The 14,948-nt window shown below is 37.5% G+C and overlaps 1 long non-coding RNA gene across 4 annotated transcripts in view; it reads right to left on the bottom strand.

The window, feature by feature from the left end:
• Nucleotides 1–1,566: 1,566 nt before the first annotated feature.
• Nucleotides 1,567–14,948, bottom strand: part of LOC105375334 (uncharacterized) — an 82,449-nt gene continuing 69,067 nt past the window's right edge. For 2 of the 4 annotated variants that reach the window (XR_001744938.2, XR_927613.3), the window contains 2 exons: nucleotides 14,773–14,857; nucleotides 1,567–3,330 (listed from right to left, as the gene is read on the bottom strand). This is a non-coding gene — a long non-coding RNA (uncharacterized LOC105375334). Of the gene's footprint in view, nucleotides 3,331–11,842; nucleotides 14,858–14,948 lie in introns of those variants that run through there. The other 2 variants (XR_007060361.1, XR_001744935.2) reach the window with 2 other exon arrangements.

Here is a 14,948-nt window from a genome sequence, read left to right as displayed (position 1 = left end):
AGGAGAGTGGTGTGAACCCAGGAGGCGGAGCTTGCAGTGAGAAGAGATAGTGCCACTGCACTCCAGCCTGGGTGACAGAGCAAGGCTCTGTCTCAATAAATAAATAAATAAATAAATAAATAAATAAATAAGTGCATCGCCAGTAGACCTGCCCTACTAAAAGTGCTAAAGGGAGTCCCTTCCATTGAAAATAAAATGCTAGAAAACAACACATCATATGAAAATACATAACTCTCTGGAAAAGCCATATACGTAACACACATATAAAACTGTGCAGTGATAAAATGATGATGCAGCAAACACTGACTGTACTCATAAACATGATAGACAAAAGAACAAATGTAATTATAAACACCTGTTAATATAAAAAGATACAATTAGTGACATCAATAACAAAGTTGAGGGCAGATGTAGTTTAAAAAAAATTGGGGCCGGGCGCGGTGGCTCACGCCTGTAATCCCCGCACTTTGGGAGGCCAAGGTGGGCAGATCACTTGAGGTCAGGAGTTCAAGACCAGCCTGGCCAACGTGGTGAAACCCAGTCTCTAGTAAAAATACAAAAATTAGCTGGGTGTGTTGGCACGTGCCTGTAATGCCAGCTACTCGGGAGGCTGAGGCAGAATTGCTTGAACCCAGGAGGCGGAGGTTGCAGTGAGCTGAGATCGCACTGCATTCCGGCCTGGGTGAAGAAGCAAGACTCCATCTCAAAAAAAAAAAAAAAAATTGGATGCAACTGAAGATCTTTCCAGTTTAAAATATATAGTTGTAACTTTAAGAGGTCTTATGTAATGTCCATGGTAAACATAAATAAACTACCTAGAAAGATATTCCATAAAAAATGAGAAAGGAACTAAAATCTGTCAATATGAAAACAAATGAGACAGCAAAGAAGACAAAGTGAAAGAAAAAGAGAACACAATAGTTACAATAATCAAATAAAAAAATTAATAACATGGCAATAGTAAGTCATCTTCTTTCAGAATATTATTTAAATATTTAGGAACTAACTTTCCCAAATAACAATCATATATTATAAAAAAATTTTTTTTAATTGCATTAAAAGCTCCAACTATATTCTGCATACAACAGTTTCACTTTAGATCTAATGACAAAAATAGACTAAAAGTGGCAGTATAAAAAAAGATATTTCAGGCAGGGCTCAGTGGCTCACACCTGTAATCCCAGCACTTTGCGAGGCCAAGGTGGGTGGATCACCTGATGTCAGGAGTTCGAGACCAGCCTGGCCAACATGGTAAAACTCTGTCTCTACAAAAAATACAAAAATTAGTAGAGCGTGGTGGTGAGTGTGTGTAATCCCAGCTACTCGAGAGGCTGAGGCATGAGCATTGCTTGAACCTGGGAGGTGGAGGTTGCAGAGAGCCGAGATCATGCCACTACACTCCAGTATGGGAGAAAAAGCAAGACTCCATCTCAAAAAAAAAAAAAAGGCAGATATTTCAAAAAACAAAAACAAACAAACAAGAAGATATTTCATGCAAATGTTAACTGAATGAGAGCATAAGAGATCGCAATTAATTGGACAAAATACATTTTAAGTCAAAATTTGTCATCTTTCATAAAATATACTTTAATTCAAAACTACAAGAGGCAAAAAAGACTTTAATAAAAGAGTTCATTCATTGAAAACCTATGACAATTGTATATCTGTGTCTGTCTGTGTGTTTATGTGAGCATATATCTATATCTACATTTATATCTCACATCAGGGTTTTTAATTTATAAAGTAAACATTGACAAAATTAAAGTACAAAACACACAGGGAGCAGAAGACTTGAAACACTGTAAAATCACACCTAATAGATGTATAGCAAACACTCCACCCAACAAAATACACAACCTTCTCAATATCTCATTAAACATTCTTCTTGATACTACACGTTAGGTCATAAAACAAGTCTTCACTAATTTTTAAAAATTGAAAACTTACTGTTTATTATTTATGACCAAAATGGAATAAAATAAGAGAAGGACATATGAAACATTTACAAATATATAAAAGTTAAACAATACACTCTTGAGCATACTCTTCTTTAAGGGTGGGAAGACAATATTATGAAGATGTCTTTAGGTAGATGATATACTACTTAAAGTGAGCCACAGATTCAATGCAATCCTTTTCAAATTCTCACTTTATTTTTGCATAAATAGAAAAATCAACCCCCAAATCATATGAATATGAAGTGACCATGAAGAGCCAAACAATTTTCAAAAATCAAAAGCAATGTTGGAGACATCACACTTTTTTTTTTTTTTTTGAGATGGAGTCTCACTCTGTCACCGAGGCTGGAGTACAGTGGTGTGATCTCAGCTCACTGCAACCTCTGCCTCCAAGGATCAAGTGATTCTCATGCCTCAGCCTTTCGAGTAGCTAGGATTACAGTCGTGTGCCACTATATCCAGCTAATTTTTGGATTTTTGGTAGAGGTGTGGTTTCGCCGTGTTGACCAGGCTTGTCTCAAACTTCTGGCCTCAAGTGGTCAACCTCCCTTGTCCTCCCAAAGTGCTGGGATTACAGGCGTGAGCCACCATGCCCAGCCTACAATTCTTGATTTTAAAATACATTCTGAAGCTACAATAGCTAAAGCAGTTTGATACTAGCATAAAGGCAGACAACCAGAACAACAAAACATAACAGAGTACTCAGAAATAAAGCTTCCCATATGCAGTCAAGAGTTATTTGCATACCCATATTTATTGCAGCATTATTTGCAAAAGGAGATAGGTCAAAGAAGCCCAAACTTTCCTCATCAAATGAATGAATAAATATAATTTGGAATATAAAAATAATAAAATATTACTCAGCTTTTCAAAAGCAGAAAAGGTAACGTAAAAAATATAAATCTTAACATGTTAAATAAAGTAGGTAGTCACAAAAACCAGATATTGTCTGAATCCACTTATAAGAGATATCGATAAACAAGAAATAAAATGATATTTGGAAAGGTCTAGGTAATAGAAAAACAATGGGTAGTTTTTTCACGTGTATTGAATTTTGGTTTGGAAGATAAAAATGTTCTAAGATATGTTGCATGATAATGTCACTATACTTAACATGACTGAACTACACATTAAAAATATTTAAGATTATAAATTTTATATGGTTTTGAACACTATTGAAAATAAACAATAAAAACTAAAAAGATACAGAATTATGAAACTTTTCAAAAATTACCTTTGAATCACAAAATATTTCTCTTCTACAAAAATAATATGGATTGTCCAATAAACAGATGTGGAAACTAAGACAACTTTCATGACTACTTACCTAGACAGGATGAACAACCATTGATCAGCAACCGAAAATAATACACTATAAAAAAAGAGAGGATATTTATACAGGCAAACAAAAACATAGATAGTTAAATTGCCAACAGACAATTTGAGTCAAGGAACATAAGTCAAGTGACATATGACATGCATATCTAACTTTTTCTTAACACCTTCTTTTTCTTTCTTTCTTTTTTTTCTTTTCCTTTTTTTTTTTTTTTTTTTTTGAGATGAAGTCTCACTGTGTCACCCAGGCTGAAGTGCAATGGCTTGATCTCGGTTCACTGCAACCTCTGCCGCCTCCCGGGTTCAAGCGATTCTCCTGCCTCAGCCTCCCAAGTAGCTGGGATAACAAGTGCTCGCCACCCAAGCCTAGCTAATTTTTGTATTTTTAGTAGAGATGGGGTTTCACCATGTTGGTCAGGCTGGTCTCGAGCTCCTGACCTCAGGTGATCCACCCACCTCAGCTTCCCAAAGTGCTGGGATTACAGGCGTGAGCCACCGTGCCCAGCAACACTTTCTTAAAATATACAAAGTTGAATATTTCTATTAAAACTATAATATATAAATAAAAACTAAAACACAAATTATGTAAGGTGGCCCACACTGAAATTAGAAACACAGAAATATAAAATTGCAAAACAAATTTAAAAGAAACTTTAAACTATAAAAACCTAAATTAAAATAGTGTACTACTTAAGATTTTATCTAGAAAAATTTTTCTAGATAACTACAATTTTCCACTATGACTGGTAATGCATAAAGAGCACACAGATTTGGCTGGGCGTAGTGGCTCACATCTGTAATCCCAGCAGTTTAGGAGGCCAAGGCAGGTGGATCACCTAAGGTCAGAAATTCAAGACCAGCCTGGCCAACATGGTGAAACCCTGTCTCTACTAAAAATACAAAAATTAGCCAGGTGTGGTGGTGCATGCCTGTATTCCCAGCTACTCAGGAGGCGGAGGCAAGAGAATCACTTGAACCCGGGAAGCAGAGGCTGCAGTGAGCCGAGATTGCACCACTGCACTTCAGCCTGGGTGACAGAGAGAAACTCCATTTCAAAAAACAAAACAAACAAACAAAAATAGAGCACAGTTTTTAAATTATTAATATCACAGTGATGGCAATAACATTTCACCAAAATGCATTATGATTATTTAGTAAAAACTTTGATAAAAAAATTTTAAAGAATAAGCATAAAATGATACCAGAAAAACTTCTTTGTTATTAATATATTGCTGCTTTTCTTACACAAACTGGAAAGGCTATAATCCAGCCTTAAGAAGTAACTAAAAGCCTTTTATTTCGAAGTGCAGAAGCACTATGAATATTATAAAATACAGTATGAAACATATATTAAAGGAACAATTAAGAATAAATTGTATTATCATTTATGTGAAGGGTAAAAAAAGTGGATGAAAAATGCTAATAATGTTTTGCATGCAATAAACATAGGAAGCGAACATTTTAATAGGTGCAGGGTGAATAAAAATTATTTAATTTACTTTTTATATGACATATAAACTTAAGCATGTTATTAACACCCCACTGTCAATATTAGATCAATGAGACAGAAGATCAACAAGAATATTCAGAACTTGAATTCAGCTCTGGATCAAGGGGACCTAACAGACATCTACAAAACTCTCCACCCCAAATCAACAGAATATACATTCTTCTCAGTGCCACATGGCACTTACTGTAAAATCAACCACATAACTGGAAGTAAAACATTCTTCAGCAAATGCAAAAGAACTAAAATTATAACCACAGTGCAATCAAATTAGAGCCCAGGATTAAGAAACTTACTCAAAACCGCACAACTGCATGGAAATTGAACAACCTGCTTCTGAAGGACTACTGGGTGAAAAATGAAATTATGGCAGAAATCAAGTTCTTTGAAACCAATGAGAACAAAGAGACAACATACCAGAATCTCTGGGACACAGCTAAAGTGAAGTTAAGAGGAAAATTTGTAGCACAAAATGTCCAAATCAGAAAGCTAGAAAGATCTCAAATCGGCTGGGCGCAGTGGGTCACGCCTGTAATCCCTGTACTTTGGGAGGCCGAGGTGGGCGGATCACCTGAGGTCAGGAGTTTGAGACCAGCCTGGCCAACATGGTGAAACCCCATCTCTACTAAAAATACAAAAATTAGCTAAGCGTGGTGGCGGGCGCCTGTAGTCCCAGCTGCTCAGGAGGCTGAGGCAGGAGAATCGCTTGAAGCCGGGAGGTGGAGGTTGCAGTGAGCCGAGATTGCACCATTACACTCCAGCCTAGGGAACAAGAGCAAGACTCTGTCTCAAAAAAAAAAAAGAAAGAAAGAAAGATCTCAAATCAACACCCTAACATCACAATTAAAAGAACTAGAGAAGCAAAAGCAAAGAAATGCAAATGCTAGCAGAAGACGAGAAATAAAGATCAGAGCAGAACTGAAGGATATAGAGACACGAAAAGCCCTTCATATAAATCAATGAATCCAGGAGCTGTTTTTTTGAAAAAATTAACAAAATAGATAGACCGCTAGCTGGACTAATAAAGGAGAAAAGAAAAAGCAGCAAATAGATACAGTAAAAAATGATAAAGAGGATATCACTGCTGATCCCACAGAAATACAAACTATCATCAGAGAATACTATAAACACCTCTATGCAAATAAACTGAAAATCTAGAAGAAATTGATAAATTTCTGGACACATACACCCTCCCAAGACTAAACCAAGAAGAAGTTAAATCCTTGAATAAACCAATAACAAGTTCTGAAATTTAGGCAGCAATTAATAGCCTACCAACCAAAAAAACTCAAGACCAGATTAATTCACAGCTGAATTCTACTAAAAGTACAAAGAGGAGCTGGTACCATTTCTTCTGAAACTATTCCAAACAACTGAAAAGGAGGGACTCCTCCCTAACTCATTTTATGAGGCCAGTATCATCCTGATACCAAAACCTGGCAGAGACATAGTGAAAAAGGAAAACTTCAGGCCAATATCCCCAATGAACATCAATGCAAAAATCCTCAATAAAATAGTGGCAACCCAAATCCAGTAGCACATCAAAAAGCTTATCCGCCACGATCAAGTCAGCTTCATCCTTGAGATGCAAGGCTGGTTCAACATACACAAATCAATAAACGTAATCCATCACATAAACAGAACCAATGACAAAAACCACATGATTATCTGAAGAGATGCAGTAAAGGCCTCCAATAAAATTCAACATCCCTTCATGTTAAAAAAAAAAAAAACTCTCAATAAACTAGGTATTGATGGAACATATCTCAAAATAATAAGAGCTATTTATGACAAACCCATAGCCAATATCATACTGAATGGGCAAAAGCTGGAAGCATTCCCTTTAAAAACTGGCAGAAGACAAGGATGTCTTCTCTCACCACTCCTATTCAACATAGTATTGAAAGTTCTGGCCAGGGCAATCAAGCAAGAGAAAGAAAGAAAGGGTATTCAAATAGGAAGAGAGAAAGTCAAATTGTCCCTGTTTGCAGATGACATGATTGTGTATTTAGAAAACCCCATTGTCTCCACCCAAAAATTCATTAAGCTGATAAGCAACTTCAGCAAAGTCTCAGGATACAAAAATCAATGTGCAAAAATCACAAGCATTCCTATACACCAATAATAGACAAGCAGAGAGCCAAATCATGAATGCACTCCCATTCACAATTGCTACAAAGGGAATAAAATACCTAGGAATACAGCTAACAAGGGATGTGAAGGACCTCTTCAAGCAGAACTACAAACCACCCCTCAAGGAAATAAGAGAGGACACAAACAATTAGAAAAACATTCCATCCTCATGGATAGGAAGAATCAATATCATGAAAATGGCCATACTGCCCAAAGTTATTTATAGATTCATTGCTATTCCCATTAAACTACCATTAACATTCTTCACAGAATTAGAAAAAAATATTTTAAATTTCATGGCCAGGCACAGTGGCTCACGCCTGTAATCCCAGTACTTTGGGAGGCCAAGGCAAGCAGATCAGCTGAGGTCAGGAGTTTGAGACCAGTCTAACCAACATAGAGAAACCCCGTCTCCACTAAAAATACAAAATTAGCTGGGCATGGTGGCACATGCCTGTAATCCCAGCTACTTGGGAGGCTGAGGCAGGAGAATTGCTTGAACCCAGGAGGTGGAGGTTATAGTGAGCCAAAATCACGTCATTGCACTCCAGCCTGGGCAACAAGAGTGAAACTATCTCAAAAAAAAAAAAAAATTTCATATGGAACCAAAAAAGAGCCTGTATAGCCAAGACAATCCAAAGCAAAAAGAAAGGCATCATGCTACCTGACCTCAAACTATACTATAAGGCAACAGTAACCAAAACAGCATGGTACTGGTATCAAAACAGACAGACCAATGGAACAGAACAGAGACCTCAGAAATAACACCACACGTCTACAACCATCTGATCTTTGACAAACCTGACATAAACAAACAACGAGGAAAGGATTCCCTATTTAATAAATGGTGCTAGGAAAACTGGCTAGCCATATCCAGAAAATTGAAACTGGACCCCTTCCTTACACCTTATACAAAAACTAAGACAAGATGAATTAAAGATTTAAATGTAAAACCAACATCCATAAAAACGCTAGAAGAAAACCTAGGCAATACCATTCAGGACATAGGTATGGGCAAAGATTTCATGACAAAAACACCAAAAGCAATTGCAACAAAAGCCAAAATTGACATATGGGATCTAATTAAACCAAAAAGGTTCTGCACAGCAAAAGAAACTACATCAGAGTGAACAGGCAACCTACAGAATGGGAGAAAATTTCTGTAATCTACCCATCCAACAAAGGTCTAATATCCAGAATCTACAAGGAACTTAAACAAACTTACAAGAAAAAAACAACCCCATCAAAAAGTGAGCAAAGGATACGAACAGACACTTCTCAAAGGAAGACATTCATGCAGCCAACATATGAGAAAAAGCTCAACATCACTGATCATTAGAGAAATGCAAATCAAAACCATAATGAGATATCATCTCACACCAGTCAGAATGGCAATTATTAAATGTCAAGAAACAATAGATGCTGGCAAGGCTGTAGAGAAATAGAAATGCTTTTTACACTGTTGATGGAAATGTATATTAATTTGACCATGGTGGAGGACACTGTGGTGATTCCTCAAAGATCTAGAACCAGAAATACCATTTGTCCCAGCAATCCCATTACTGGGTATATACCCAAAGGAATATATAAAGACACAGGCACACATACGCTTATTGCAGCACTGTTTACAATAGCAGAGACATGGAACCAACCCAAATGCCCATCAATGATAGACTACGTAAAGACAATGTGGTACATATACACCATGGAATATTATGCAGCCATAAAAAGGAATGGGATCATGTCCTTTGCAGGGATATGGATAAAGCTGGAAGCCATCAGCAGCAGCAAACGAACACAGGAACAGAAAACCAAACACTGCATGCTCTCACTCAAAAGTGGGGGCTGAACAATGAGAACACATGGACACAGGGAGGGAAACATCACACACCGGGGCCTGTCAGGGGATGGGAGGCAAGGGGAAGGACAGCATTAGGACAAATACCTAATGCACGTTGGGCTGAAAACCTAGATGATGGGTTGATAAGTGCAGCAAACAACTATGGTATATGTATACCTATGTAACAAATCTGCACATTCTGCACATGTATCCCAGAACTTAAAGTAAAATAATTTTTTAAAAAAGCATGTAAAATCAACAATTTTATTTCAGAACTTTTAAATCTAGAATTACAGGCAAATCTGGCATAGTTCAGATTACAAAGTGAACAAATATAGCACATAATCCTGATAATATTTATGTTAAAGAAGACATGATTTTATTTTTGTTAATTTTTTTTAGATGGAGTCTCACTCTGTCGCTCAGGCTGGGGTGCAGTGGCACGATCTTGGCTCACTGCAACCTTCATCTCCTAGGTTCAAGTGATTCTCCTGTCTCAGCCACCCAAGTAGCTGGGATTACAGGTGCACACCACAATGCCTGGCTAATTTTTGTATTTTTAGTAGAGACGGGGTTTCACCATGTTGGCCAGGCTGGTCTCGAACTCCCGACCTCAGATGATCTGCCCACCTTGGCCTCCCAAAGTGCTAGGGTTACAAGTGTAAGCCACCATGCCCAGCCAACATAATTTTAAAATAAAGTTATTATAAATAAGTAACAATTAAAATTTACTATATGCTGGGTAATCATCCAAGTTCCTCTTTGACATTAGTTTCTTTATGAATTTCCTGAGGTGAGTAGACATAAAAATATTCTACACTAGAGGGATTAAACATATGGAGTTTAAATTTCTAAGCTGAGTTTCTTCTAATATAAATTTTTTAAATAAAATTGATAATTATTCTCACATTTAGTAAGATGCTTTGTGCTATGATGAAAAGTCAAAGTCTGATTTTCTTTAAGATCACATATGAAAACTCTATTAAGTGGAAATTACAAAGATAAAAACATATGACATCTGTCCCTGGTGTTTCTGGAATTTCTGAGTGAAATCTCAATTTCTCCATTATTCCTCAAACGATTTTGACGTAAGGCACAAACAGAACATTAAAAATAACATACAGGTCTCAGAAAATATGCACAGATTGCCACAGATCTCCAAAAGCAATGGAAGGGCAGTCAGATCATGCAGGCCCTCCCAAGATAAGAAGAGGACTTTGGCTCTAACAGTGTATGCACTGGAAAATCATTGGATGGACAGGAGAAACCTTTAAGGATTTAAGAACATTATAAGCATAGGTAGAAAATTTTTCTCTGTGGCCACAAGAGAAATAAAGCTCAAATTCTCAAGAACCAATTCCAGGACAAACACAGCGGCTCATATCTGTAACCAAAGCACTTTGTGAGGCCAAGGCAGAAGGATTGCTTGAGTTTGAGACCAGCCTAGGCAACACAGTGAGACCTCATTTCTACTTAAAAAATAAACAAAATTAACCAGGTGTGATGGTGCATGCCTGTAATCCCCGCTACTTGGCTGACTGAGGTGAGAGAATTGCTTGACACCAGGAGGTCAAGGCTGCAGTGAGCTGAGATTATGAGAATCCAGCTTGGGTGACAGAGCAATACCCTGTTTGAGAGAAAGAGAATCAGTTCTATTGCAGCAGAGCTTCCCAAGCTACATTTAAAACTTTGGTTTTCCATTGACCTTTGGACTTCACACATGTGTTATCTGTTCATTCCTTCCCACCCATCAGGATTTATGGCAATTGTCTCCTCTCTTTTTACATTCCATGTATATTCCTGTTGCTGTACAAAGTAACCAGGTCTTGTTTAAAGACTGTCCATTAGACCCATTCATATTTTCCACAATATTAACTGGACTCAGAAAAAAAAAAAAACACACACACAAAAAACTCCCATTATCTGTCTCAGGAGAAAATTAGAACAATAGAAGATGTGTTTAAAGTTTTATCTTTCTCCAGGACTGACTGTAGGCTAGATTCCATCTCCCCTACATGGTGCATTATAAGAAATGATGAAGTAATGAAGAAAACAGTTTATTTCTGCTAAGAAGAAGGTTGATGCTTATTATATTACTAGAGAAACTGGAATACCACAGGAAGTAAACAAAGAAAGCATAATATTACAGGATTTGAAAAAGAAATGAAAAAAAATCTCTTCAATTCAAAAAACACACACAGAAGTCCAGAGAAGATATATCTGAGGATATGTTCATAAAGCACCCAGAACTGATAGCCTGGCTGACTGTTGTGAGTATTGCCCTATAATAAGCCAGTCTATAAATACTACGTTAGACAGCTGTTTTATAAATAACCAAGTTTCATCAAAAGATCACTGTGCATACAGAGAAACCAAAAACTTGTCCCCCGTGAAAGAAAAAAAAAGAATTTCTAGAAATTTACCTTTAAGAAATAAAGATCTTAGGCCGGGCACAGTGGCTCATGCCTGTAATCCCAGCACTTTGGGAGACCAGCCTGACCAACATGGCAAAACCCCATCTCTACAAAAAATATAAAAATTAGGCAGGCGTGGTGGTGGGTGCCTGTAACCCCAACTACTCGGGAGGCTGAGGCAGGAGAATTGCTTGAACTCGGGTGGCAGAGGCTGCAGTGAGCTGAGATCGCACCATTGCACTTCAGCCTGGGCAACAGAGAGAGACTCTGTCTCAAAAAACAACAACAACAACAACAACAACAACAGCAAGAACAAAAAAAACCCTAAGGTAATAATAAAGTCTTTCCAAGATAAACAAAATCTGAGTGTGCTCCTCGCAACTAGTACAGTACTAGAAGACATGTTAAAGGGAGTCAAATATGTTGAAAAGTGAAATAATGCAGGACAGTGTCATAAAACCATAGGAAAATATAACACTCTTTTTTAAGGGAAATATTTAGACAGATAAAAAATTTGCTACTATTATAATAATGGTGCATAAAGTTTTTAAAATGTTACAGAATTTGAAAAAATAAAAAAAGCATAAATCTTTGTTGATAAGAAATAAAATATTTGTGACATTAATAATAAAATGGCAGATGTAAAGATGTATAGTTATGATTTAATTGAAGTAACTTTATTAGAATATAGTTATAAATTTAATGTTTTATATACTTTGCATTTCTTAAGATGATCATAAAAATCTTATAGAAAGTATATCAAAAATATGAGAAAGGAATTAAAGCATGTCACTACAAAATCGCCAAAAAAAATGAAGACACAGAGCAAATGAAGAAAAACATATCCACAGGAAACACAGAAAGAAAATACAAACCAAATGGTAATAGTAACTTTTCCATTAGAGATTATGTTACATATAAATGGACTAAAATCTTTAATGAAAAGAAATACAATAGCTAAAGGAATTCACAACAAACAAGATGTTACACCCAGTAATGGGATGGCTGGGTCAAATGGTATTTCTAGTTCTAGATCCCTGAGGAATCGCCACACTGACTTCCACAATGGTTGAACTAGTTTACAGTCCCACCAACAGTGTAAAAGTGTTCCTGTTTCTCCACATCCTCTCCAGCACCTGTTGTTTCCTGACTTTTTAATGATTGCCATTCTAACTGGTGTGAGATGGTATCTCATAGTGGTTTTGATTTGCATTTCTCTGATGGCCAGTGATGATGAGCATTTTTTCATGTGTTTTTTGGCTGCATAAATGTCTTCTTTTGAGAAGTGTCTGTTCATGTCCTTCGCCCACTTTTTGATGGGGTTGTTTGTTTTTTTCTTGTAAATTTGTTTGAGTTCGTTGTAGATTCTGGATATTAGCCCTTTGTCAGATGAGTAGGTTGCGAAAATTTTCTCCCATTTTGTAGGTTGCCTGTTCACTCTGATGGTAGTTTCTTTTGCTGTGCAGAAGCTCTTTATTTTAATTAGATCCCATTTGTCAATTTTGTCTTTTGTTGCCATTGCTTTTGGTGTTTTAGACATGAAGTCCTTGCCCATGCCTATGTCCTGAATGGTAATGCCTAGGTTTTCTTCTAGGGTTTTTATGGTTTTAGGATACCCAAATGACTATAAATCATGCTGCTATAAAGACACATGCACACATATGTTTATTGCGGCATTATTCACAATAGCAAAGACTTGGAACCAACCCAAATGTCCATCAATGATAGAGTGGATTAAGAAAATGTGGCACATATACACCATGGAATACTATGCAGCCATAAAAAAATGATGAGTTCACGTCCTTTGTAGGGACATGGATGAAATTGGAAATCATCATTCTCAGTAAACTATCACAAGAACAAAAAACCAAACACCGCATATTCTCACTCATAGGTGGGAATTGAACAATGAGATCACATGGACACAGGAAGGGGAATATCACACTCTGGGGACTGTTGTGGGGTGGGGGGAGGGGGGAGGGATAGCATTGGGAGATATACCTAATGCTAGATGACGAGTTAGTGGGTGCAGCGCACCAGCACAGCACATGTATACATATGTAACTAACCTGCACAATGTGCACATGTACCCTAAAACTTAAAGTATAATAAATAAATAAATAAATAAATAAATAAACAAACAAACAAATAAAGAAATATTTTCTGCACTACAGCCTGGGTGACAGAGCGAGACTCCATCTCAAAAAAAAAAAAAAAAAAAAAGATGTTACAATATGCTTTCCACAATAGGGTCACATTAGCTCTAAGGAGTTAAATAGGCCGAAAGTATCAGGATGGAAAAACATATTCCATGCAAATAATAACCACAATTTGGTAAAGTAGTCTTAATTATATTAGACAAAATACACATTAAGTAAACAACTGTCACAGGAGACTAAGATTGTCATTTCATAATGGTAAAAAGGAAGAGAGACAGAGGTGGAGCAAGATGGCTGATTAGAACCCTCTAGCAATCATCCCATATAGGAACACCAAATTGAACAACTATTCACACAAGAAAGCACCTTCACAACAACCAAAAATTAGGTGAGTAATTACAGTACCCAGTTTTAACAAAATAGAGGTACTGAAGAGGGTAGGAAAGACAGTCTAGAATTTCCTACACCACTTATCCCTCATTTCCCAGCAGTAAATATGTGGCACAAAGAGAGAATTTGTGTGCTTAGGGGAAGGACAGCAAGGGATTGTTGAACTTTGCATTGGAACTCAGTGCTGCCCTGTTTTAGTAGGAAGTAATCCAAGGCAGAATTTGGCCATTGCCCATGGCGGGAGCACTTTGATCAGCCCCAGACAGAAGAAAATTATTTATCCCAGCACTTGGTACCTGAGTTGTGGCTAGCCCCTCAGGCTAAAGTGCTCTGGAATTTTAAGTAAATATAAAAGGCAGTCTAGGCGGGGCACGGTGGCTCAAGCCTGTAATCCCAGCAGTTTAGGAGGCCAAGGCGGGTGGATCACGAGTTCAGGAGTTCGAGACCAGCCTGACCAACATGGTGAAACCCCATCTCTACTAAAAATACAAAAGTGAGCCGGACGTGCTGGCACATGCCTGTAATTCCAGCTACTCAGGAGGTTGAGGCAGGAGAATTACTTGAACCCAGGAGGCGGAGGTTGCAGTGAGCTGAGATCACGCCACTGCACTCCAGCCTGGGTGACAGAGTAAGACTCCGTCTCAAAAAAAAAAAAAAAAAATCACAAAAAACCCCGGCAGTCTAGATCACAATGATGGCAATCCCTGAGCAAGTTCTGATGTTTTGCAGGGCTCAGAAAAAGTGGACTTAAGTTCCTAGTACTTGGTACACCATGAAGGGTTTCCAGCATCTGTGTCCTCCCTCTGCCCACTTGCAATGCATTTCATCTGAAGATAGGCTCAGAATGGGATGGAAATTTCAATGTCTCAGTGTCTTGTCAGTTGTTTCCCCTGGCTGTGTCTAGTCAGTCATCTTGGCTCCCAATTGAAACTTAGTCTTTTAACAAAACAGACAGTATTAGTCCATTCCCACAATGTTATAAAAATACTAACCAAGACTGGGTAATTTGTAAACAAAGGAGGTTTAATTGACTTACGGTTCTGCATGGCTGGGGAGGTCTCAGGAAACTTGTAATCATGGTGAAAGCAGAAGTAGGCATGTCTTACACAGCAGCAGGTGAGCTAGAGCATGGAAGAACAGGGAAAACTGCCTTATAAGACCATCAGGTCTCATGAGCATTCACTCACTATCACAGGAACAGCATGGGGGAAA

The sequence above is a fragment of the Homo sapiens genome, chromosome 7 (assembly GCF_000001405.40).
Source record: "Homo sapiens chromosome 7, GRCh38.p14 Primary Assembly".
In the NCBI taxonomy this organism is placed as follows: domain Eukaryota; kingdom Metazoa; phylum Chordata; class Mammalia; order Primates; family Hominidae; genus Homo; species Homo sapiens.
The sequence above is the reverse complement of the archived record's forward strand: the minus strand, read 5'-3'. Positions and strand labels throughout refer to the sequence as shown.